The sequence below is a fragment of the Homo sapiens genome, chromosome 10 (assembly GCF_000001405.40).
Source record: "Homo sapiens chromosome 10, GRCh38.p14 Primary Assembly".
Classification (NCBI taxonomy): Eukaryota; Metazoa; Chordata; class Mammalia; order Primates; family Hominidae; genus Homo; species Homo sapiens.
Window position 1 is genome coordinate 14,607,737 of NC_000010.11, and position 26,106 is coordinate 14,633,842.

General features: G+C 41.1%; 1 protein-coding gene across 2 annotated transcripts in view, besides 1 other annotated feature; it reads right to left on the reverse strand.

Annotated features, from left to right (window-relative positions):
* FAM107B (family with sequence similarity 107 member B) overlaps positions 1–26,106 on the reverse strand; it is a 256,341-nt gene that overhangs the window by 89,180 nt on the left and 141,055 nt on the right. The gene's annotated exons all lie outside the window — the stretch shown is intronic.
* Positions 996–1,045: an enhancer, noted in NCBI's record as "active region_3078". NCBI's record gives its function as "activates an Ori minimal core promoter by ATAC-STARR-seq in GM12878 lymphoblastoid cells {active_cell/tissue: GM12878}" and the evidence as "EXISTENCE:reporter gene assay evidence [ECO:0000049][PMID:35858748]".

The following is a 26,106-nucleotide window of genomic DNA, read 5'->3' on the forward strand; positions in this document are numbered from 1 at the left end:
GGCTTAGAGGGTCTTTACTGATTTGCTTTCAATACAAATACTGATTTCCCTTACATTACAAAGGGAACACTCCGCTGAATGGTTTCTGAGTCATTTAACCCATCACTGGTGATAGATTCTCTGATCTTGCATTACTGGAAAACATACATAATAATTTTCCATTTCAGAGCAGCAACCTACAGGGTCACCCATATACTCCACTATGACCTCATCCTTTAGCTTGGACATCTGGAGATCTTGCAAATTCATCCCTAAGGAAAATCGAACAAAGCAGAAATGACTATTTGGGGACGTAAAATGATACAAAGCAAATCAATCTGGAATAAGACGTGTTGCTTTTTTATTGTCTACTTTGGTCATTTTGTTCATGCGTAATCTTAAAATTGTTACTTTACACCCAAACCACCATGCTGAAGAGCTCCAAAGAGATGAGAAAAACTTAACAATGCCCTCAAGGAGGGAAATTTGTTTTGACATGTATACTCTTTTGTATCTTAAATTTTGCACTGTGTACGTGGACATTTGAATCGTAATCCATTCAAAAAGAAATAAAATCTTAATTTTAAAATCCTATTTTTAAGCCACGCTCTCTCATTCTGTGTCAATTATCTATGACTGTATAACACATCGCCTCAAAACTTTAGTGGCTTAAAATAAAAACACATGCTTTGCTCACAATACTGTGGGTTGGCAATTTGGACAAGGCTCAGCTGCGATATCTTATTTCTGCCCCATGTGGCATTAGCTTGGCTCTGTCATGTGTTTGCAGTCAACTGGGAGGTTGGCCAGGGACTGGCTTGCCCTGGGTGGTCTCAAAGTCCAGAAGTTGATGGCAGCTGTCAGCTCAGGCATCTCAGATCCACTTGTATGGCCTCTCAGCAGGCTAGATAGGACTTCCTCACACAACAGCCCCGTCCAGGAGGGCGAAAGAGGAAGTGGTAAGGCCCCTGGAGCTCTAGCGTTATGGGTCTAGAAGAATGATAGAAGTCTGTACATTCTACCATTAAAAATGTCACAAGGTCAGCCCAAATCCAAGATTTGGAGAAAGAGACCCCCCTTGATGGTAGAAGCAGTAGTCATATTGCAACAGGGCTTGAGTGCTGTACTAGGAGAGGAGGAATTCTTGTGACCATCCTTGCAAATAATCTTCCTCTGAATCAGACATGAGGAACTACAGAATGGAGGGCAAAGTAACAGGTGCTAACAATAGTCTCAAGGGAAATCTTTCTGATGATAAGACAAAAGCACTTTGGTATTCAACATAAAACCCACAAAGACAGATACAATACATTGGTATTGGCCTCATGGCCTCAATTGATAGGTCAAAGAAAATAGTTAATTTCTGCTTATTTGTTTTTGGTTTAAATAAGAAAAAGATGGGGGAAAGAAAAAACAACAAACGCTTTGGGACTATAATGCAACTAAGGTGCATTGGGTTCTAAATCAGTGTTTTAGATACCTATTGCTGCATAACATCTTACCATAGACTTAGTGGCTTATAACACCCACATATTGACTCGTCCTTTTTTTAGTCCAGAAATGGCATGACTGGGGTCTATGCTGAAGGCCTCCCAAAGCCAAAATCAAGATCTTGGCAGGGCTCATAGTTCATCTTGTCTGGAGCTCAAGGTCCTCTTCTAAGGTCATTCAGATTGCTGGCAGAATTCAGTTCTTTGTGGTTATAGGACTGAGGACCCAGTTTCTTTGCTGGCTGTCAGCTGAGAGCTACTCTCAGCTGCTAAAGGCTAAAGGCTGCCCAGAAACCTCATCATGTGGCCCTCCCCATCTTCCAGTCAGCAGTGTCTCAGCAAATCCTTCTATGCTTCCAATCTCTGACTTGGCCATCTAGGGCTCTAGACTCAGACTTAAAGTGCTCATGTGATTAGGTCAGGCACACCCAGATCATCTTCCTATCTTGACAGGTAACTGACTTGAGACCTTCCTTACATCTGCAAAATCCCATCACAGCAATAGCTAGATTAGGGTATGACTGAATAACTGGAGAAGTTGTGTGTATACCAGAGGCCAGGAATTGTGGAGGCTATCTTAGAATTCTATGACAGATGGAAGGACAGGCAAACAGACAGATGCTCTTTAATATAAACATAGAATGTGAGGGCAGGCAGAAGGTGGAAACCTTGGAGAGGTATCACATGCAGAGCTCAGCAGTAAACCAGGAACCAGGCCTAAGAAGGAATTCTTATTGAGTAATAACCGAATTCCCACATGGTCCGTTCAGTGGTTACCAAGTCTTCATTGACCCCTGATGACCTGAATACTGAAAACAATAGGGAAAGGAAAACGAAGTTAAGAATATGGCATCTAGGCCGGGCACGGTGGCTCACGCCTGTAATTCCAGCACTTCCGGAGGCCGAGGCGGGTGGATCACGAGGTCAGGAGATTGAGATCATCCTGGCTAACACGGTGAAACCCCATCTCTACTAAAAATACAAAAAATTAGCCAGGCATGGTGATGGGCGCTTGTAGTCCCAGCTACTCGGGAGGCTGAGGCAGGAGAATGGCATCAACCCGGGAGGCAGAGCTTGCAGTGAGCCAAGATCACACCACTGCACTCCAGCCTGGGTGACAGAGCAAGACTCCACTTCAAAAAAAAAATAAAAAAGAATATGGCATCCTAATTTTATCATTTAAATAGCATAATCATGTAAATATAACAGAAGTCCCTTTATTTTGCTTAACTGTTTTGCACAATTGTTGTATGACGTTAATGTAATATTCCATAACTCAGGAAGATAATGCCTTTCAATAAAGAGACTTAGAGAACTCATTTGTGGAAAATCTTTGTGAAAAGTTGTGTGGTTTGCCAAGCAAATATAGCACATGCATACCTTTTTAAATTAATAGTACTTAGGAAGGATCAAAATGATATGCCCAAATCTGAAAGAACATGCTAGAAACCAGATGATAAGCTGTTTCATTAAAAGAGCCTCTGTGCATGAGCATTTGTGATCACAGGAATGGAATTACTTCATTAAATATGCTAACAGCACCAACAGTAAAGATGAGTATTGTCCCCTGCAGTAGTTATCCACTACAAAAGCATTTTGCAAGCTCCAAAACAGAGCTGTATTTCATAATGTAACTGAGTACTTTGCCAATTCTAGAGAGTTTAAAAATTCAGGAGAGTTTTATTTTCCAAACATTTAATATATGTACTGCCTAAAACACTTAATTTCGTTTTTAAAGAACACTTGCTTTTCATTGTTCACAATTTTAAAATCAAAGGGACTCTATGAAATGGTGGTTCTAACTTGTAACTGCACATCGCGAAGAATCGAGAGAAACAGCTGTTACTCACATAAACGACTACTGAATGATGCAAAGATCTGCATTTTACGTTTTTTTCTTTACATGAATCCAAAACCAGAAAAAAGGATTTCCTGAGAGTCTTCCTGTGTATTAAAACTAAAATCTCTAAATAGCAAAGAGAGGGGAACAAAATCCTTAAGCGCTCATCCTGTCAAAAATATTAAGGTAACTTAATGGTCGACACTAATGAGTAAACAAACCATCTCTGCAATTAAGCAATATGAAGATAATTTCTGTAAATTTCCTAATTCAAATAACTGACATACAATACAAATGGCCAAATTTCTGTGAACATTCTACAGTTTGCTCCAACTTTTTTTTCTTCTTTCTGATATTCGCTCTAGATACAGACATTTCCATTAGCGGGAAGTATCCTTTGGAATGCTTATATTATTAATAACTAGTTGAATGCCAGTTTTATATATATATATATATATATATATATATATATATATATATATATTCACCTAACTTCTATTAATTGCAATAAAATAAGTTCATGGAAGAATGGAAGGAAGGCTAGGCTAGGACTAAAGAGATCTGCCTGGTGACCTCGGATAAGAAACTTATCCAAAGCTTCAGTTTCCTCTGGACTTAACAGTAAATGAATTCATAGTTATTTCTGTAGTCCAGAAGTGGCACGGCTGCATTCTCTGCTGAAGGCCTCCCAAAATCAAAATCAAGATCTTGGCAGGGCTCATAGTTCATCTCGTCTGGAGCTCAAGGTCCTCTTCTAAGCTCATTCATTTATAAATATGTATAAAAATATATATGCATAAATTTTTCCTTGCTAGTTATTAGCTGGGAGTCACTCTCAGCCACAAAATACATATATTTATATATTTATATCCTCATACATATAAAACATTTATATGTCCTTATACATGTGTGTATATGTGTATGTGTGTGTATGTATGAGTATAAATATATATACATGTTATATACATAAGTCCTTATTTATATAAAAAGTTCCAGCTTTAGTTGTTGTGCTCCCCAGGCTTGTCTGGAAGAGAGAGCTGTGTGATCCACTCCAATCTTAGAAGTAAAGTTCAAACTGCAGCTAATGTTAAATCGTGCCAGAGAAGGTTTACTTATTAACTCTGCTTAGAGAAGTGTGTGACCCACACATTTGAACTGCTAATGATTACTGGACTTTTAAAACTGCTGTTCAAGTAATAACATTCTTCTATTTGTTCCACCAAATTTAACATGAACTAAAATCCTAACTAATGTTAGTGTTAGCTGGATAATATTAATAAAAGTTGGAACTTTATAAGGAAAAAGAGAGAATGAATGCATGATGGAAGGACAGAGTCCTTGGGCAGCTGAGGGCAGTTTCTGGAAAGGTTTTGCAATTCTCCTTGTTCGTCTCTCAGTTGCCATCAGCACTCAGAACAACCTGCCCTGTCCTTCCTTACTTACCCTGTCCAAGATTCCAGCTTGTTCTGGTGGCCTCCTTTTTCTAAGTCCACAGCTAACACACATTGCAGGAAACTGTACTTTGACAGGCACCTGCTTTTCTCAGCTCATTTCTCTCTGCAACAATTGCTTCAGCCATTTGCTATCATTTGTATCATTTCATACACAAATAATTACAAGGACAAAATAAAGAAATACAAAGATATGATAGAACTGTCCTTGTCTTTGACAGACCAAAGAAAATAACAGACCTTTGTCCAAAATGATAAGTGACAGGCTGAGAGACAAAGACACACAGAGAAAGAACAAGTAAAAAAGACTGGGAATAAAAATGGAGACATAACTGTAGATACCCCAAAACTAAAAACAGCATACAAAACCATGATGAGCAACTTTGTCTGGAAATGCAGATGAAATAAAAATTCCTAGAAAAATACAAGTCGCTACAAAGTGACTCAGGATGAAATAGGTAAACTTTCTTTTTTTAATTTTATTTATTTATTTGAGACAGAGTCTCACTCTGTCGCTCAGGCTAGAGTGCAGCGGCGCAATCTCAGCTCAGTGCAACCTCCACCTCCCAGGTTCAAGCAATTCTCCTGCCTCAGCCCCGCGAGCAGCTAGGATGACAAGCGTGCACCGCCATGGCCGGTTAATTTTTGTGTTTTTAGGAGAGACAAGGTTTCACCACGTTGGCCAGGCTGGTCTCGAACTCCTGACCTCAAGTGATCTGCCTGCCTTGGCCTCCCAAAGTGCTAGGATTACAGGTGTGAGCCACCTCACCGAGCCCATAAACTTTCAATGAATTGAATTGGCAATTGAAATGTTATCATAGAACAATAGAAACCTAGTGGTACGGAAATTGATTTTAAGAATGATTTGCTCATGACCATTCTTAGCTTGATTTGGAGAGATTCATAATCTTTTAAAAGACAGTTTATCCATGTGACTAATGAAAAGCAGAACTTCTCTTCTTACTCAGAACTTCCTTACTTACCCCATGCCTCCTTACTAACCTGACAGTTTTTTCACTGCACAAACTTCAAGATAATCTTAATTTCCTCACTTACGCCCTACATCTACTTTGGCGACAAAACCAAGACATTGCTTTCTCTGTCATTTCTCTCAAATCTACATTTTTCTCTCCATCTCTATCAAATTCTGCCTGGCCCACAGACACACAATCCTCAGAGTGCATATCCACTAATACTGCTTTCCTTCCGTCTGCCCCACACAAGCATACACTATGACTCAAGTCATCTCACAAACAGGCCACATCAGCTAGGCTAATCTAGTAAAACAAATTATACAACGCTTTTCCCTCAAAGCTGGACGACTGGCTTTTCTTTTATTAAAATTCAAAGTCAGCTGGGGGCAGTGGCTCACACCTGTAATCCAAGCACTTTGGGAGGCCGAGGAGGGCAGATCACTTGAGGTCAGCAGTTCGAGACCAGCCTGGGCAACATGGTGAAACCCTATCTCTACTAAAAATACAAAAATTAGTCAGGAGTGTTGGCGGGCGCCTGTAGTCCCAGCTACTCGGGAGGCTGATACAGAAGAATCGCTTGAACGTGGGAGGCAGAGGTTGCAGTGAGCCAAGATCGCGCCACTGCATTCCAGCCTGGGCGTCAGAGTGAGACTCCATCTCAATAAATAAATAAATACAATTTGAACTTGCTTCTTTCTTTCCCCCTAAACAGTCGTTGTCCTGGGAGGTTCACAGATCACATGAGGTCCTGTGGGCTCTTAGAGGCTCTGAGCACGATCAGAAGCCATCAGTGTGTGTGTGATACTGAAAGCCAGGAGCCTGCATTCACCACCAAGGGAGAAACTGAGGCCTGTGCCCAGGGCGCTCTGGCATTTAGTGGTCGGGGAGCTGCTGGGAACTGGCAAAAGAGACAGAGAAGGAGTCAGGTGCAGTGTCTCACGCCTGTAATCCCAGCACTTTGGGAGGCTGAGGGAGGTGGATCACCTGAGGTTAGGGGTTCAAGATCAGCCTGACCAACATGGTGAAACCCAGTCTCTACTAAAAATACAAAAATTAGCCAGGCATGGTGGCGCATGCCTGTAATCCCAGCTACTCGGGAGACTGAGACAGGAGAATTGCTTGAACCCAGGAGGCAGAGGTTGCAGTGAACCAAGATCGTGCCATTGCACTCCAGCCTGGGTGACACAGCAAGCGAGACTCTGTCTCAAAAAAAAAAAAAAAAAAAGAGACTTAGAGAAGGAATGGCCAGTGAAAGTGAATGGGACCCAAGGGAGCTATGAATGAAACCTGGAAACCAAGTGAGACCAGGGTTTCAAGCAGGAGAGGATGTGATGGGCACCTTTGTGAAACGCTGCTACCAGGTTACACGAGACAGGGACTGTTTACCAACCCAAGAATCACTCGGGGAGCAGCAGGGGTGAAGACCTGGCTGGAGTGGCTTCAAGACATAATGGGAAAAGAGGAATTGGAGGCAGCTAGTATAGGCAGCTTTGTCAAGGGTAGTAGACGGAGGGGAATCCAGGGCCAAGAAAGGTTTTGTTTCACTGTTTTGCTTGTTTTTAAAAATGGCAGAAACTGCTGGGTGTGGTGGTTCACATCTGTAATCCTAGCACTTTGGGAGGCCGAGGTGGGTGGATCACTTGAGGTCAGGAGTTCGAGACCAGCCTGTCCAATATAGTGAAAACTCATCTCTACTAAAAATACAAAAATTAGCTGGGCATGGTGGCATGTGCCTGTAGTCCCAGCTACTTGGGAGGCTGAGGCAGGAGGACCACTTGAACCTGGGAGGTGAAGGTTGCAGTGAGCTGAGATCATGCCACTGCACTCCAGCCTGGGTGACAAAGTGAGACACCATCTCAAAAAAACAAAAAAAAAGGCAGAAACAAATAATTTTCTATAAGCTGATAGGAACGATCTTGTAGGGAGAGAATTAATGGATATCTTTTGGTCTTCTGGACATTAAGCCTAGGCCTTGCTGAAGTGAACTCTACTCTAGCCAAGTTTCCTGTGAGGCATAAATACACCCACTTCCACCTCCCAATCTTCATTCATGATGTTCCCTCTGGCAGAAATGCTCTTCCTCCCCTCTGTTAGCAGATCCAAGTTTTGCCCATGCATTAAGTTTCTGTTCAAATCTTAGGTCTGCCACAAGGCCTTCCTTAACTTTTATAACCTAGACCAAGTGCTTATTTAATTTTTTAATAGCACTGAGCATTTATAAATTACTTATTAAGTATCTCTGTGTGGAAAGGAGTGAGCTAGATTTGGGAACAGAGTAAGTTAAATAAAAAGCACCATTCCATACTCGAGAAGCTAACAAACTTCTTATTTGTCCTAAGCAATAATTTTTTGTATGTGTTCCCTAATTACCTTGTCAACTTTGAAGGCAGGCAGGAATCAATGTTTTAATCTTTTTTAGTGCCTAGCACAATAAGTACTTCATAATCAGAGCTAGATAGATATTTATCAAATTAAATTAAAAATAAATATGACGGAATTACTTAGGCATACTTCCCAATTGTATAAAAGAATCACAAAAACTTCCCTTAATAGTTTATTCCTTCAAACATTTTGTAACAATTATTTTAAAACTTTCTAAAAGAGGTTGGATATGTCCCTGCTATGTTAAATAAAGAGCCTTAAGGACAGTGGCTTTTTAAAAAAATAATAATAATATTGACCTGCTTGTGGATGACTGAACTGAGTATCTTTATTGAAAATTTTGATAAAGCTGAACTAAGGGCATGTTGCATGTTTGTTGGAATGACTCTTCTTAAGACTCAGTTTTATATACAGGAAAAAATCTGATTAGCAGTTCTATGGAGCTACTGGAAACTCGAGCTTCAAAAACACCACAGAAATGAAAAGACAAGGGGCATTGTTTTTACTGAGATTTCCATAATTCTCACTCCTCTTCTGATGACATAAAGTAAGCCCAGGGGACTATTAATGAGGTTGAAAATGAATATGCCTGAGCTGTAATCACACCAAGAAATGGATAAAAGGTATTGTTCCATTGCCTAGGTCAGCCTGGTATAAAAAAATGGAAAGACCCAGTGGGTATATTATTGGCAATTTTGTGGCAGACTTTCTTCTAGGCATATTGGAGAACACAAAACTTTACAGAGTAAGAACAGCAATAATGAAAGGCACACTCGAGAGAGTAAGGAGGCTGGACTCAGTGGCTTATGCCTGTAATCCCAGCCCTGTGGGAGGCCAAGGCAAGCAGATCGCTTGAGCCCAGGAGTTGGAGACCAGCCTGGGCAACATGGGGAAACCCTGCCTCTGCACAAAAAATACAAAAATTAGCTGGGTGTGATGGCACATATCTGTGGACCCAGCTACTTCAGAGGCTGAGGTGGGAGGATGCCCTGGGAGGTCAAGGCTGCAGTGAGCCATGATTGTGCCGCTGTACTCCAGCCTGGGTGACACAGGGAGACCCTGTCTCAAAAAGATAAAAATAAAATAAAAGAGAGAGAGAGAGAGTAAGGAAAGTAAAAATAAAAATAAGGCAGGCAGGTGGGTGAATAAGAGAAGGATAAGGAAGAGAAGAAAAAGGAGAGGAGCAATAGGAGAAAAGAGAGAAGAAAGAGAACCGAGAGGAAGAGCTAATTACAGACAAGAATGCAGCAGGAGTGAAGAAAAGGAAATAAAGAGGCTGGAAAGGAAAAGGAAATTAACTGACTCGGGATATTTTCAGTTTTTTTTGAAGATCATGCCCCGGTTTTCACTGTGAATGAAAGACTCAGGAAACAAGCCTTTCCTGTTGAGACCTGTGTGTAATTCCTGCTCTGCACCTTGCTAGCAATTGTTGCATATCAAGATAAAAGCATCTGCAAAGAGAAGGGGCTTGCACTTGAAGGTGGAGCAGGGGGGCCTTACTGGTTTTAATCCCTGGAGAGGATACATGTCTCTCAAACTTGCAACAGGAAGTGAGGGAGAGCCTGGGTCTTGCTCACAAGGAGTCAAGCCACTCAGGAGACACTGTCTTTTCAAAAATGGTCTAAACTGAATATGATTTAACATAAAATTGTACATTCTGGCATCTGAAGCTTAAGATATCCTAATTTCACAATTGATGGCTGCTTAGAAGTGATGAAACACGTAAGTGGCTATCTGTGTTTGAGCAGAGACAAAAGTAAAACTGTGTGCTCAGAGCTTCAACACATGTAAAGCAAGAGCAAGCTGTCCTGGTAGGGAAGAAAGGACACTGCTGCATCTAGGAAGGTGCTGTCCGGTCAGGAGTAAAGAATAAACAACTAGAGACAGTTTCAGGTAGACGCCAAAAAAAAAAAAAAAAAAAGGCCTGAGACAGGCCCATGACCCAGAGTTTGGTGCCTAATTACCATGGTGGCGCATGCCTGTTTTCCCAGCTACTTGGGAGGCTGAGACAGGCGAATTGCTTGAAGCTGGGAGGTGGGGTTTACAGGCGTGAAGCACCAAACCCAGCTTCTTGAAGTGAAATTTATATACAGTAAGATTTACTCTTTTTAGTCTACAGATCTATTAATTTTGACTCATGTAATACAGTTGTGTAACCACCTCCACAATTATCATAGGGAATATTTCACCACCTAAAAAAGTTGACTCATGTCCCCTTGTGGTGAGTTCCCTCCTCCCCACCCACAGTCTCTGCAATTTTTGCTCCATAGTTCTCCCTTTTCCAGAATGCAACATGAAGGGTATTATACAGTTCAGTCTCCTTCAGGGCTGCTTTCACTTCACAAGACGCTTTTGAGATTTCTCTATGTTCTTGGGTGTATCAGTAATTCGTTCTTTTTATTTCCAAGTGGTATTCCATTGTATTGTTTATCTCAGTTTATCCATTTACAGTTGATGAACTTGGCTTGTTTGCAGTTTGGGGTGACTATGAATAAAGCCGTTATAAACATCTCACACAGGTCTGTGTGAGAACATATGTCATATGTTTTCATTTCTCTTGGGTAAAAACCTAGGAGTGGGACTGTCGGGTTGTATGGTATTATGGGTTGGATTCTGTCCCTTGCCCCCACGCCCCCCAAAAAGATGTTGAGGCCTAATCTCCAGTCTTCGAATGTGACCTTATTTGGAAATAAGTCATTACGGGCCGGGCTTGGTGGCTCATGCCTGTAATCCCAGCACTTTGGGAGGCCAAGGCAGGTGGATCACTTGAGGTCAGCAGTTCAAGACCAGCCTGGCCAACATAGCGAAATCCCGTGTCTACTAAAAATACAAACATTAGCCAGGCATGGTGGTGTGAACCTGTTATCCCAGCTACACAGGAAGTTGAGGCAGGAGAGTCGCTTGAACCCGGGAGACAGAGGTTGCAGTGAGCCGAGATGATGCCATTGGGTACCAGCCTGGGCGACAGAGTGAGACTGCTTAAAAAAAAAATAGTCACTGCAGATGATGTAATTAAGATGAGGTCATATTGGAGTACGGTGGCCCTTAATCTGACTGGTAAGTATCCTCATAAGAGGAGACGAGACACAGAAACAGACACGCAGGAAGAAGATGGTCTTGTGACAACAGGGGCAGAGATTGGAGTGATGTATCAATAAGCTAAAGGGTGCCAAGGATTGCCAGCAAGTACCAGAGGTTAGAAGACATGAGGAAGGAAACTCTCCTATAACCTTCAGAGGGAGCTTCAGAGGGATTTAGAGGGAGCACCGCCTGTAGATCCCTTCATCCAACACTTGTAGCCACCAGAAGTGCGAGAAATAAATTGCTGTTGTTTTAAGCCACTCACTTTGCGATACTTTGTTACAGCAACCCTAGGAAAATAAGGCAGTACGGTCAGTCGGTGTACATTTCACTTAATGGGCACTTTTTCCCAAAGTGCCCATATTGACGTTCCCACCAGCAATGCATGAGAGTCCTGGTTGTTCTATGATCCATCAGCAGTCGACACTAGCAGTGTTTTTCATTTTAGCCATTCTAATAGGTGAAGAGTGGTTTTAATTTTTATTTTTCTAATGGCTTATTATGTTGAGCACCTTTTCATGTGCTATTTGTCATCCATATATCTTCCTTAGCGAAGCTTCTGTTCCAGTCTTTTATCCAGTTTTTATTGGTTGTGTGTATTTTCTTAATAAGTTGTAAGAGTTCTTTTACAGGCATGTGTTTTCTAAATATTTCCTCCCCATCTATGACTTCTCTTTTTATTTCCTTAACAATGTATTTTGAAGAAGAAAAAACTTTAAATTTGAAGGCTTATTTATCCATGCCTTCTTTTACGATTTGTGTTTGTGTCCTAGCTAAAAAAAAAAAAAAAAAAAAAAACCTTTGCCCAAGCTAAGCACACAATTACATTCTCTTATGTTTTCTTTTAGAAGTTTTATAGTTTTTGCTCTTACATTTAGGTCTATGACGTATTTCAAATTAATATTTTCATATGGTGCTAGGCAATGGTGTAAAGGTTGAATTTCTTTTTTTTTCATTAGTATACAGATGTTCCATTGTTTGCTTTTTGAAAGGACTATGTCTTATACATTGATGAACTTGGTAGCTTTGTTGCAAATCAGTTGACCGTGTAAGTGTCTATCTACGTCTGGACTTTCTTTCTTTCTTTTTTTTTTTTTTTTTTTTTGAGATGGAGTCTCGCTCTGTCGCCAGGCTGGAGTGCAGTGGCACAATCTCGGCTCACTGAAACCTCCGCTCCCAGGTTCAAGCCATTCTCCTGCCTCAGCCTCCTGGGTAGCTGGGACTACAGGCGCGTGCCACCATGCCCAGCTAATTTTTGTATTTTTAGTAGAGACGGGGTTTCACCATGTTGGCCAGGATGGTCTCGATGTCTCGACCTCGTGATCCGCCCACCTTGGCCTCCCAAAGTGCTGGGATTACAGGCATGAGCCACCGCGCTTGGCCTATTTCTGGATTTTCTATCCTGTTCCATGTCTCTGTATATCTAACCTTTCATCAACACCACCCTTTCTTATTTGTATTACTTTACAGTAACTCTAAAATTCAGGTTTTGTGAGTCATCTAACTTTGTTGTTCTCCAAAATTATTTTGGTTGTACTAGGCCCTTTGCTTTCATATACATTTTAGAATAACGCTGATTTTTTTCAAAATGCTTACTGTATTTTTTTTATTATTATAATTTAAGTTCTGGGATACATGTGCAGAACATGCAGGTTTCTTACATAGGTATACACGTGCCATATTGGTTTGCTGCACCCATCAACCCGTCAACTACATTAGGTATTTCTCCTAATGCTATCCCTCTCCCAGCCCGCCATCCCCCCACAGGCCCTGGTGTGTGATGTTCCCCTCCCTGTGTCCATGTGTTCTTATTGTTCAACTCCCACTTATGAGTGAGAACATGCCGCATTTAACTGATGTCTTAATATATAGTCTTCTGACACATGAACATAGTATATCTCTCCATTTATTTAGGTCTTGTTCGATTTCCTTATCAATGTTTTGTACTTTCCAGCATACAAACCTTACATACATTTTGTTAAAGTAATCCCTAAGTATTTCTTGGTTTTGATGTTATTGTAAATTATACATTTTTAGAATTTCAATTTCCAATTATTTATTGCTTGTATTTAAAAATACAGTTGATTCCCACAGATTGACCTTGTATCTTATGAACTTGACAAACTCACATATTATATTTCTTAGTCATTTTTTAAATAGTTCTTTGGGATTTTTAATGTAGATAATCATGACTTTTGCAATAAAGACCATTTTATTTCTTAGGTTCTCTGTTTTTTTAAATTTGGCATTCTTTTCAGGGAATTTCAGGGAAGAGGCATGTCCACAGCCAGTGAGGAGAGTGAGATTTGGTTTCACATTTCGATGTTTTGAAAGCAACATTAAACTGCTGTTTATATTATGTAGACTCCTTTCTTACTTTTTCTGTTTAACAGAAAAATTCTGTGGCCCTGTTATTTGTGTTCTGTGACTGACTCCTACTGCAGACTCTTTGATTCTAGATCTTAAGTGTTCAAACTATAATATTCCCTTTGGATGAAATATTTCCTCCTGTGGTCCACTTTTTAAAACGTATATGAAATGGGACATTTTGTGGCTAGACATAAGCCAACGCCACAGGGCAAGGAAAAATTAAAACAAGACATTTGATTAAAGAGTGAAGACAAGGAATTAAAGAATATAAAAAGGAAACTAATTTTTACCTTAGTCAGGCTGCAATTCTATTAAAAGAAACAGGATACATGGCCCTGAGAACTCCCCTAGGTTCCCAGACTAGAAGCATCTGTTGATTTGAAGCTGGGGAAGAGAGGAAGGAGCATAAACAAGATTTGAAACAGGATTTGGCTTTTTTTGAGGCCTTCCCAGCCGATGTGGGGTGGCACCAGCCCCATTCCACAGCTCGCTTGTTAGCTGCTGAAAGCGGAGTATAACGCTTGGAGAGCAAAAAGAAAGGGAAGGAAAAATTCTTCAGAGTAAAAAAAAATGTACAGAAGTACCTTGCAGTTAAGAGAGGGTCTGCCAAGTCAATGAACACTAACAATAAAATATGTTCAAGTTGCTCTGTGATTCCAGGTCTTTTCTCTTCCAACTAATCAGATGCATCTTAAATACCCCAAAACATGACCGCTTATACCAACAAAGCTTTTCCACAGTCTCTCCATGGAGTAACATTCCTGGCTTTTCATCTTGGCTTCTCCATCAACACATTTAATAAAGTCCATCTTTCAATATTCATTCAATAAACATCCATGCATCCAACGGGGGCCAGGCAATATGTCAGGACCTAAGAATATGGAGATGAAAAATGAGGTCACTGCCCTCAGCAGACTTACAGCCTAGCAGAGGAGACAGACATTGGAGCAAACATAATACAATAAATGCTGTGATGGACAAGCACCTGGGAGCTAGTATGAGAGATTTTTTTTTTTTTTTTTGAGATGGAGTCTCGCTGTATTGCCCAGGCTGGGGTGCAGTGGTGTGATCTCGGCTCACTGCAACCTCTGCCTCCCTGGTTCAGAGATTCTCCTGCCTCAACCTCCCGAGTAGCTGGGACTACAGGTGCATGCCACCATGCCTGGCTAATTTTTGTATTTTTAGTAGAGACGGGGTTTCACTATGTTGGCCAGGCTGGTCTGGAACTCCTGACCTCGTGATCCACCCGCCTTGGCCTCCCAAAGTGCTGGGATTACAGGCATGAGATTCTTAAACCAGGCCAGAGAGAGAAAGTCAGAAAGCTTCCTGGAAGAGAAGGCATCTAAGCAGCACATTAAAGCTTCCGTACACTAGACACACTCTTATTGGCTATTTTGGTTCAAGTACATGGTCAGTTAATCAGAACAGGAAATTACAGAAACATAATGTATGCCCTAAACACTTAATTTAACATAAACATATGTTGAGCATTTGTGTCCCAGTTTATTTGACTGCAGGCTCACAGTTTTCCTTTAAACATAAATCTTCTGATTGGAGTTCCCTGTAGAAATCACAGGGATTTCTTTCCTGTAGAAATCACCACACTCCTAATGCATTCATTAACTACACAATTTCTAGTTTGCCTCTTCAAAGGGGAACAGGAATGTGGAGAGAATTGCAAAGCAACCTGAGTAAAGCATCCTTCTTGACTGATACTAGTTTATCCATCTGATACAATTCTCTTACCCACACCTAATTTGACAGCATTTTGTTTTAAGCTGCTCATGTTCATTCTTGTCAAAGCAATTGACTTGATTTTGATTATCACAACCCTCTTTCTTTTGGTGTTCATCTTTTGTTGATTTAATATTTAATTATACAACAGTATTAAAATAACAACTAGCACAACAACGCAATAAAGCAATAAGGCAAACGCACCTTATTCTTCTTAAGCAAACAACTCAATCAGTAGACACAGAAGTAGGTGGAGGACAGCTTATCACCTGCAAAAGTCCAGCAGGCCACAAGACTCACCCTGTGCATCTTTCATCAGGAATTTAGGTGACAGTTAATCCCAACTGTGGCTAAATAAAGATCTGGTAAAACATCTACTGCAGAAAAGGTACAGACATTCAAAGGAGAGTGACCAACACAGAGAGCTGAGATGGGCACAAAGGAAGCACACATATTCAGAGGAGGAGTCGGGAGAGCTCAGGCGTCAAGCTAACTAGCTCAAAACTGGGTCAGCGTGGTGGCTTACGCCCGTAATCCCAGCATTTTGGGAGGCCAAGGTGGGCAGATCACATGAGGCCAGGGGTTTGAGACCAGCCTGGCCAACATGGTGAAACCCCATCTCTACTAAAAATATAAAAATTAGCTGGGCGTGGTAGTGCAGGTCTGTAATCCCAGCTACTCAGGAGGCTGAGGCATGAGAATTGCTTGAACCTGGGAGGAGGAGGCCGCAGTGAGCTGAGATCGCCCACTGCACTCCAGCCTGGGGGACAGACGGGGACTCTGTCTTAAATAGATAAGTAAATCGCTCACACTTGGGCTATGTATCTTAAAGGCATATGAAACAACTCATTTTCCTTAATTTTTCTGTCGCTCAATGAGAATGTCAAACTCATCTTTCTCAACGTCAACACTGAACACTGGTGAAGACACCACTATTTTAATGAACATGCCAACATTTGTTACAAAGCCTTCTCCTGAAGAATGGAGCATCACAATATATCAGTTGTGTCATCAGCAACCACCGTACTGACCCCTAAAGGGCTCCTAGCAAACATAAAACAATGGAGAGGCAGGTGAGGGAAGCTGGTGCCCAATTCACAAAACCCACAGAGGATCATTAAAAAACCACTAGAGGCTTTGAAAGAGATCTATTAACTATACAAACAATGGAGTGGCTATAAGGATGGTGAATAAAACCATGAAAGCCATCAGAAGACGTGAGAAGTGTGGAAGCTGTTCCAAGGCTGGTGGGAAAAGCTGGAGAAGAAATGGCCAAGCCAGTTTCCACTGGGTCACGGCTTTGTCTATCCTGCCCCATCTCAAAATCAAAAGAACTTGAGGGAGTCTCAGCACTTCTGGGAGGCTGAGGAGGGTGGATCATTTGAGGTCAGGAATTGGACACCAGCTGGCCAAAACGGTGAAACCCCATCTCTGCTAAAAATACAAAAATACGCCAGGTGTGGTGGTGTGCGCCTGTAATCCTAGCTACTCGGGAGGCTGAGGCAGGAGAATTGCTTGAACCCAGGAGTTTGAGGTTGCAATATACAGAGATCCTGCCGGTGCACACCAGCCTGGATGACAGAGCAAGACTCCGTTTCAAAAAAAAAAGACTTGAGGGTCAACTCCCAAAGAACTTGAACGTCCCTGAGTCCGTTTTCGTATTTGAGCATAACAAGCTGCACTCATGACAAATGTCATAAAATAACTAAAGCAGCTGGCAAACGCAAGAAAAGAAAAACAGAGTGGGTGGAGCTGTTAAATCAATAATACAGAGGTCTGAGAAGCAGAAGCACATACATAAGGAAGTTCCTTTCTCCAGATCAGTAGATATTCAAGGGTAAGAACTCTGGTAATCCACTGATCTAGGTGGATGACAATAGTTTTGTTGATCAGAATGTCATGTGTGGCCGGGCGTGGTGGCTCACGCCTGTAATCCTGGCATTTTGGGAGGCCTAGGCAGGTGGATCACTTGAGGTCAGGAGTTTGAGACCAGCCTGGCCAACATGGTGAAATCCCGTCTCTACTAAAAATACAAAAATTAACCAGGCATGGTGGCATGCACCTGTAATTCCAGCTACTTGGGAGGCTGAGGCAGGAGAATTGCTTAAACTCGGGGAAACAGAGGTTGCAGTGAGCCAAGTTGGCACCACTGCAGTCCAGCCTGGGTGACAGAGTAAGACTGTCTCAGAAAAAAAAAAAAAAAAGGAATGTCGTGTGCGTGCGTGTGTGTGTGTGTGTGTGTATGTGTGTGTATCCCTCCCAGCCCTGGGAATTTTTCAACCTGCCATGAAATCTCTGCTTTGTCTCAGAGTCATCCTTCGTTTCATCTTCTTTGACTCTCTGATGACGCCTCATCTAGTCCCAAACACCTCTCCAGAACAATGAGCAGAGCCTGCCCCCTGCTCTGAGATGAAGCCTTTGTAACTGCTCCAGCCAGGGCCTGACAGCCATGAGTACAACTGTCCTGGCTGCTCTGCAGGGAGCTCATAAGAACAGGGAAACAGGAGGGCCCAGCTCTGCCTGGCAGCTGTGACATGGTGTGCCAAAATAGGCATTAATGTCGCGTGCAAGAGAAACAGGCAGAAGAGACAGAAGGATTTATCTCTTGTTAGAACTGAGCTGCGTTTTACAATCCAAATCAAATTTCTTGGTCATTTTTATGGTGAAATTCTCGTGGTTTCAGAGTCCAGTGCTATTGCTTAGAAGGAAAAAAAAAGTGGCACAGAAGAATAACTGAATTAAATAAATATTCAAGAGTACTTTGGCCTAGACAGATTCAGTACAACACAACAAGCAAAACCATCCGACCTCCATGCAGCTGCTCATGGATTAAAAAAAAAAAAGCTAATTTCAACAGGGCTGCTGAATAATCAAGGCTTAAAAGGAGAAGTCGTAATGGAATCTGATCTGTTGCCTACATCGTTAGAGAACATACAGCTTTGTACATCAAAGCAAAGCACATCCTCCTTCCTCATTAGAGCCAAGGGGAGGCTTGGGATACTGGGTCCCCCCACCCCGGTACACTTGGGACTCTTTTAAGACCGTGGTTGTTTTGAAGCTGGCAAAGCAGAGGAGAGAAAAGCCATCTTCTCTTATGGTAATGATTTTATTTACTCCGTTGAAGGCTGGTCACTGCTGATCACTGCCAGCCCCTGGGTCGCCTGGGATTTACAGAGGACTCTCTTCATATAGCATGAGTTCACTGAGATTGCTCCCTTCTCCTCTGTCTTCAATATACGATTCATCACATAAACAATAAAAACAATGCTGGTCTATATTTGAAGGAAATTTTACAGTTTTCAGTCAGACTGTGCAATTGTCTAAGAGCCGGAAATGTTGGAATTTAGGTGCAAAAGAGCATACTCTCTCACAATACTTCTGCTGTTTGGTTTCTCATTTGGGTTGTTAGTTATCACAGGACCTGACTTTCACAGAAACAAACTGTGGAATTTGAGGCGGATCTTTTTTTTCTTTTTTTTTTTTTGAGACAGAGTCTCGCTCTGTCGCCCAGGCTGGAGTGCAGTGGCGTGAGCTCGACTCACTGCAAGCTCCGCCTTCCGGGTTCACGCCATTCTCCTGCCTCAGCCTCCCAAGTAGCCGGGACTACAGGCGCCCGCCACCACACCCGGCTAATTTTTTGTATTTTTAGTAGAGATGGGGTTTCACCGTGTTAGCCAGGATGGTCTCGATCTCCTGACCTCGTGATCTGCCCGCCTGAGATGGATCATTTTATAGTATTAGTTGTCTTGTGCTGCTTGGTTCCTTTAAGAGACTCCGTGTATCTCAGCAAAGCTCTTTGGCCTTGCATAAAAAGTACTATGGAGCACATTGTCGATGGCCTCTGATTTAGTGTTTTATCTGCACCCACCTGATCTGTTTGTACCTCTTTCTATCTTTTGGACATCTGGATTTAAATCCTCATTTATTATCTGGATTTGCTTCTGCACCAAATGGCTATGTTCCCTCTTCTCATCAACATCTCTTACCTCTCCGGATGCTCTTAATTAGATATGACCATAACCTGAAGGTGAGCTTCAAACAGGTTATTTACAAGACAGACACTGGTGGACCTAGTTCCTGCTAGGCACCAATTACCCCAGGGCAATTTAGGTAAATTACCATGGTTTGAACAGCAGTCTAAATTGTGGTCATAAGATTAAAAAGGAAAATTTCCTAAATAGATGTTATTAATTCTTAAAGTATTGCAATCTGATTCTACCAAAACATACTTTCGTCACAGTCCTAATTTTCTCCATCCCAAGCTATTTAACGTTATATTCAGAATATTATCATTAGAATGGTTTTAGAAACGGACCATATGGATAAACAGACAGGAGGAGATCAGCGGAATCTAAAGGGTGTCATGCAAATACCTGTTAAAATCATGCAAATATCTGTTAAAATAGCAGCTCTGCTAGACAGGAAGATAGAATGTAAAAAGAATACAGAGGTGAGGCTGGGTGCAATGGCTCACGCCTGTCATCCCAACACTTTGGAAGGCCAAAGTAGGAGGACCACTTGAGGCCAGGAGTTTGAGACCAGCCTGGACAACATTAACGACACCCCATCTCTACAAAGAAATTTTAAAAATTAGCCGTGGTTGAGCACACCTGTAGTTCCAGCTCCTTGGAAGGCTGAGGCAGGTAGATCGCTTGAGCCCAGGAGTTCAAGGCTGCAGTGAGCGAGGATCACACATCTGCATCCTCGCCTGGGGGACAGAGTGAAACCCTGTCTCTATAAAAAGAAAAAAAAATCAGAGTAGAAATAAGCATTTAACAGATTGGTTGAATCCAACGAGAGAGTGGCACAAAGAGGGAGATCAGAATTAGGGTTTGGAAGGAAGGTCACAGGACGTCATTTGCCTTAACCAGAAGATATAATTGAGAGTAACTACGAAGGGTAGGCGTGAATTCAAGGGCTTAGGGCAGAAGACACAGACTTGGAGTCCATGGTTGGTATAAGCCACAATTATTATAAAAAGGTCAATACAGCAGTCTATTCGTGAGAATAGTTATGCTGGAAGTCCATAGCTCTTTCTTTCTGTTTGTTTCCTTGTTTGTTTTTTGTTTTGCTGGTTTTTTTTTTTTTTTTTTTTTGAGATGGAGTTTCGCTCTTGTTGCCCAGGCTGGAGTGCAGTGGCGCGATCTCAGGTCACTGCAACCTCCCCCTCCTGGGTTCAAGCAATTCTTCTGCCTCAGGCTCCCAAGTAGCTGGGATTACAGGCGCCCACCATCACGCCCAGCTAACTTTTTTATATTTTTAGCAGAGATGGGGTTTCACCATATGGCCAGGCTAGTCTCAAACTCCTGACCTCAGGTGATCCACCTGCCTTGATCTCCCAAAGTGTTGGGATTACAGGCGTGAGCCACTGCACCCGGCCCATAGCTCTATCTTTCCTACCCAGATGGGTCTTTCCAGTTTATGTGCTACTCAGTCTCTGAGAAGGTAACCCCAATGCACTAGGAATGGAAACCCCAACTTCCTTGGGAAGTATTTGTAAACTTCTTAGAAAGATAAATGAAATGAACGTGGGATACTGTAATTGGTTCTTTGGTGGGTAAATATATTTTAACCCCAGGCAAGGTTAGATCCGAGTCAAGTCTAAAGATGATTAACTAAATCAAACTCACAGTATTATTTGTGTGTTAATATAGGGAATAGTTTTGTGCATGATTTATATTTTAAATGTTTGTATTGTATAAAATAATTTGAGAACTGTGTATGGTGGCTTACACCTGTAATCCCAGCACTTTGGGAGGTTGAGGTGGGAGGATCGCTTGAGCCTAGTCGTTTGAGACCAGCCTGGGCAATACAGCAAGACCCCATCTCTATAAAATAAAATAAAATGAAACAATTTGGTATGACTAATAGATTTAGACTCATGCTTTTAAGTTGACACAATAAAACCAAATTTGTAAACAGTACTGAAAAGCTTAGGAGAATTAAAATTTACATAAATGCTTATAAATATGTTATATATATATTAGCTTTATATTACAAGTCTCAGGAAAGTTGTGGTATTAAAAACTTGAAGGATTTAGAAAGAAAACTAAATATATAAAATTTATAAATATGAAAGCAATTTAAGATGTTTAAAGGAGTTTAACTTTCTAAGTGGAACCAAATATTAACCACGGACATAAAAAGTATATATATACTATATATATAAAATTTATATTTATATAATACATGTTATAAAAATATAAATTACATAAATATAAATTATATATAATTTATATATATTATAAATATAAATTGTATAAATATATAATATATATAATATATAAATTATATAAATATATGTAATTTATATATATAATATATATTATATATTTAATATATATAATATATATAATATATATTATATATTTAATATATATAATATATATAATATATATTATATATATATTATATATATATTATATATATATTTAATATATATATAACATATATAATATATATATATTTAATATATATATATATATTTTTTTTTGAGATGAAGACTCGCTCTGTCGCCCAGGCTGGAGTGCAGTGACACCATCTCAGCTCACTGCAAGCTCCGCCTCCCGGGTTCCAGCCATTCTCCTGCCCCAGCCTCCCGAGTAGCTGGGACTACAGGCACCCACCACCACGCCCGGCTAATTTTTTTGTATTTTTAGTAGAGGTGGGGTTTCACCATGTTAGCCAGGATGGTCTTGATCTCCTGACCTCATGATCTGCATGCCTCGGCCTCCCAAAGTGCTGGGATTACAGCGTGAGCCACCACGCCTGGCCCATAAAAATAATTTTTAAAATTTATTGTTATTATATATGGCATAATATGATATAAATTTAGAAAAAAAACATGATTTTTACATTTACTTTTTAAAATCAAGTATTAATACTAAAAAACCGTGTAAATCACAAAACTGCAAACACACTTTCAACTTGAGATACATGAAAATGGATATATCTTTTTTGATGTTACACAACAAATGAACAATATTTATCACGTGAAACTTTGATAGAGCTTTATCTCCTTCCACAGGATGCTGTGTAAAGTAGGAGTTTCCTTCACTGAAGAATTTCCTGTTCTCCATACTTAGATCTCGGGGCAAGAATCAAGACTTTTAAGAAAACATGCAAAATGTATTTCTCTTGCTCACTTCAGCAGTTTCACCTAAAGTAAGCACTTTATGTCCCATATACAACATTAAGACATGCTTATGCAGTTCACTATGCCTCACTTCTCTACTGATGCTAAAAAAAAAAAAAAAAAATGGAAATAGAACTGCAGAAAAAATGGCTGAATTGCAAGATTTACCAAAGTGATCATTAGCAAAATATAGAATTGCCTACAAGTGCCCACTGCTCCTGAAGAATCCCAACAAACAAGAAAAAAAAATGCACTGAGGCAGAGTTGAATTTTACATATATAAATTATATATTTCTTAGTTTCCCTTTCAAAACTATGTTTTGAAGTTAATTCTGTTTAAAAGTAGTCAGTTCTATGTTTTTTAAAAAAATCACATTGGGCTGGTCCACGCCTATAGTCTCAGAACTTTAGGAGGCTGAGGTGGGAGGATCGCTTGAGCCCAGGAGTTCGAGACCAGTCTGGGCGACTCTAAAATAAAAATACCCCTCTAAAATAAAAATACCCTCTAAAATAAAAAATACCCCCAAAATTAGCCAAGCATGATGGCATTAGCCTGTAGTCCCAGCTACTTGGGAGGCTAAGGCAGGAGGATTCCTTGAGCCCAGGAGGTTGAGGCTGAGGTGAGCCATGATCATGTCACTGCACTCCAGCTGGGTGACAGAGGGAGACCCCGTCTCAAAAATAATAATAATAATAAACAAAAATTTTAAAATAAAATAAAGTAGAACATCAGTAAAGGACCTTCAAATGCTATTGTCTGAATTCTATGAATATATAGGAATCTAGTCTGCTTGAAATGGTTTACCTAATGGACTTTTATTATTTTACATTTATTGAGAGCCAGTGAAACAATGAATGAAAAGCAAACAGGCATGAATTTGTCATCTAAACCCTGCCTCTCTTTCTATTGTACTGATCATTACAAAAACCTTTCTATTGGGATAAACAGACACTTTTCTCCCCGGGACAGTTTGTAATTATCTCACATCTTTTTTCTCACAGATGAATCTCAGTGCATATCCCCTGGCTGGGCCTGGGCAGCATCCTATCATCCCTTCAACAGAACTACATCACAGTCCCCTTCCTAGTTTACTCCTCCAGGATTTCTTTCATGAGCTGCCACCATAACATCTCCTTCTAGCCAACATCCATATAAAGTACCATGTCAGGACAAGATTTGTCATGGCTTTCCTGGGATAATCTTGTCTATCCTTTTACATTGGGTTATCTGTTTAAACAGAAGAGATGAACCAGTGTATAAATTCTACAGCACAACTTTTAGAATCCATCTATTTTTAGAGACAGATTTCTTTTCTGGAATTTGGCAGAAATTCCTTAAGACCAGATCAGAATTGACTGTGACCATTTGACCATTTTCCTGCCTGATTGATTTCTAAGAAGTCTACCACCATGCCCCGCCCCAAACCTAGCCCTGCAATTCAAGGAGACTTCCAGGGGAAAAGTGAGCACTGCTAAAAATGACCCCTCTTTTTTCCTTCTCTAACCTCCTGGGTCCCCACCCCGGCAACTTCATCATCAGCCCCGATTCTGCCCTTTTGCTCCACAGTGAATTGCACCCCTCCTAACCCCATGCCATGAGCATTCCTCTCCAATGCCAGGCTGGCTACCCAGGTTGTGAGGTCCAGTGCAACATGGAAATCTGTGACCCTCTGTCACCAAATGATTAAGCATTTCTAGAGGGTGACAGCCGAGCATTAAGCCAAGTGACGGCTTTTATAAGGTAGGTTGCCATACGACCGCACAAGCTTGTAGCCCACGAAAAAAAGTGCAGGTTCCTGAGCCATTAGGACCATTGGAATCCTCTGATAAAATTAAGAAATCTGGCCAGGCACAGTGGCTCACACCTGTAATCCCAGCACTTTGGGAGGCCAGGCAGGCGGACCACCTGAGGTCAGGAGTTCAAGACCAGCCTGGCCAACATTGGTGAAACCCCATCTCTACTAAAACTACAAAAATTAGCCAGTCATGGTGGCGTGCACTTATAATCCCAGCTAGTTGGGAGGCTGAGGCAAGAGAATCACTTGAACCCAGAAGGCAGAGGTTTCAGTGAGTGGAGATCGCGTCACTGCACTCCAGACTCCAGCCTGGGGGACAGAGCGAGACTCTGTCTCAAAAAAAAAAAAAAAAAAAAAAAAATGCCGGGCGCAGTGGCTCACGCCTGTAATCCCAGCACTTTGGGAGGCCAAGGTGGGCAGATCATGAGGTCAGGAGATCGAGACCATCCTGATTAACACGGTGAATCCCCGTCTCTACTAAAAATACAAAATATTAGCTGGGCGTGGTGGCGGGCGCCTGTAGTCCCAGATACTCGGGAGGCTGAGGCAGGAGAATGGCGTGAACCCGGGAGGCGGAGCTTGCAGTGAGCCGAGATTGCGCCACTGCACTCCAGCCTGGGCAACAAGGCAAGACTCTGTCTCAAAAAAAAAAAAAAAAAAGAGAATTCAGAAATCTTCGTCTAAGAATTATTACGTAAAGAAACCCAAAAGAAAGTTTTTCTCAGGAAAGAGTGAGTACAAAGAAAAGCTGGGAGAGAAAAGATAGCATCTGAAGTAGGGAAAGGAAGGGAGAGACACGAGATGGCACAAAGTGATTGAGGGTCCTGACTAGCAGACTACAGAGACAGGGGGTACAGGGCAAGAAATGCCAGCTAGGGAAGGGGTTCAGAGATGAGGCTGGAGACCCATTTGCAGGAATGAGCAATGATTTAAAATCATACAGCTGGAGGCCAGGCACAGTGGCTCACACCTGTAATCCCAGCACTTTGGGAAGCCAAGGCGGGCAGATCACTCGAGGTCAGGAGTTCGAGACTAGCCTGGCCAACATGGTAAAACTCTGTCTCTAAGAAAAACACAAAAATTAGCTGGGCGTAGTGGTGCATGCCTGTAATCCCAGCTACTCAGGAGGCTGAGGCAGGAGAATCGCTTGAATCCAGGAGGCAGAGGTTGCAGTGAGCCAAGACTGTGCCACTGCACTCCAGCCTGGGTGATAGAGACTCTGTCTCAAAAAAAAAAAAAAAAATCATACGGCTGGTCAAAAGCACTTCACTGAGTGATGGCCCCTTGGAGGGATCATGTGTAATTTACATAAGTCTTTAATTGTGAAACTAACTAATGAAAAAGAGAATCTACACAATTCCTTAAGGGAAGCAATACATATACACATAGACTCCTGGTTTTCAAATACCACTATACAAGATATAATTGATGTTAAAACTATTCTGGGAAAACTTAATCAACCTAATACTGCAGAAGGTGTTCCAAGATCTTCTAGTACTTTGGATAAGCAGTAGGAATTTAATGATGGATTAAGTTATTTCATTGATTCATTCTTACATTAACTTAATTACATTAATAAAATATATTAATTTATTGATGAATGAAAGCATAATATACCAGCTAATCTGTAATCCACAGAATACTAAATTAGCTTTCATTAGATAGACTAAATTAAATAATATTCAGTAGGGGTCTAACAAATTTTTGTTGAGCCAGTCAATAAAACATAAACAAATCCCTTATTAACCCCCAAATCTCAGAATTATAATTTTCCATTCTGCAACCTGACAACTTTTTTTCATAAGGCAGCTAGAGAAGATATTGATTCAATAGACACCTGGTTTACAGAATTAATCTCATATTTCTTTTGCTTC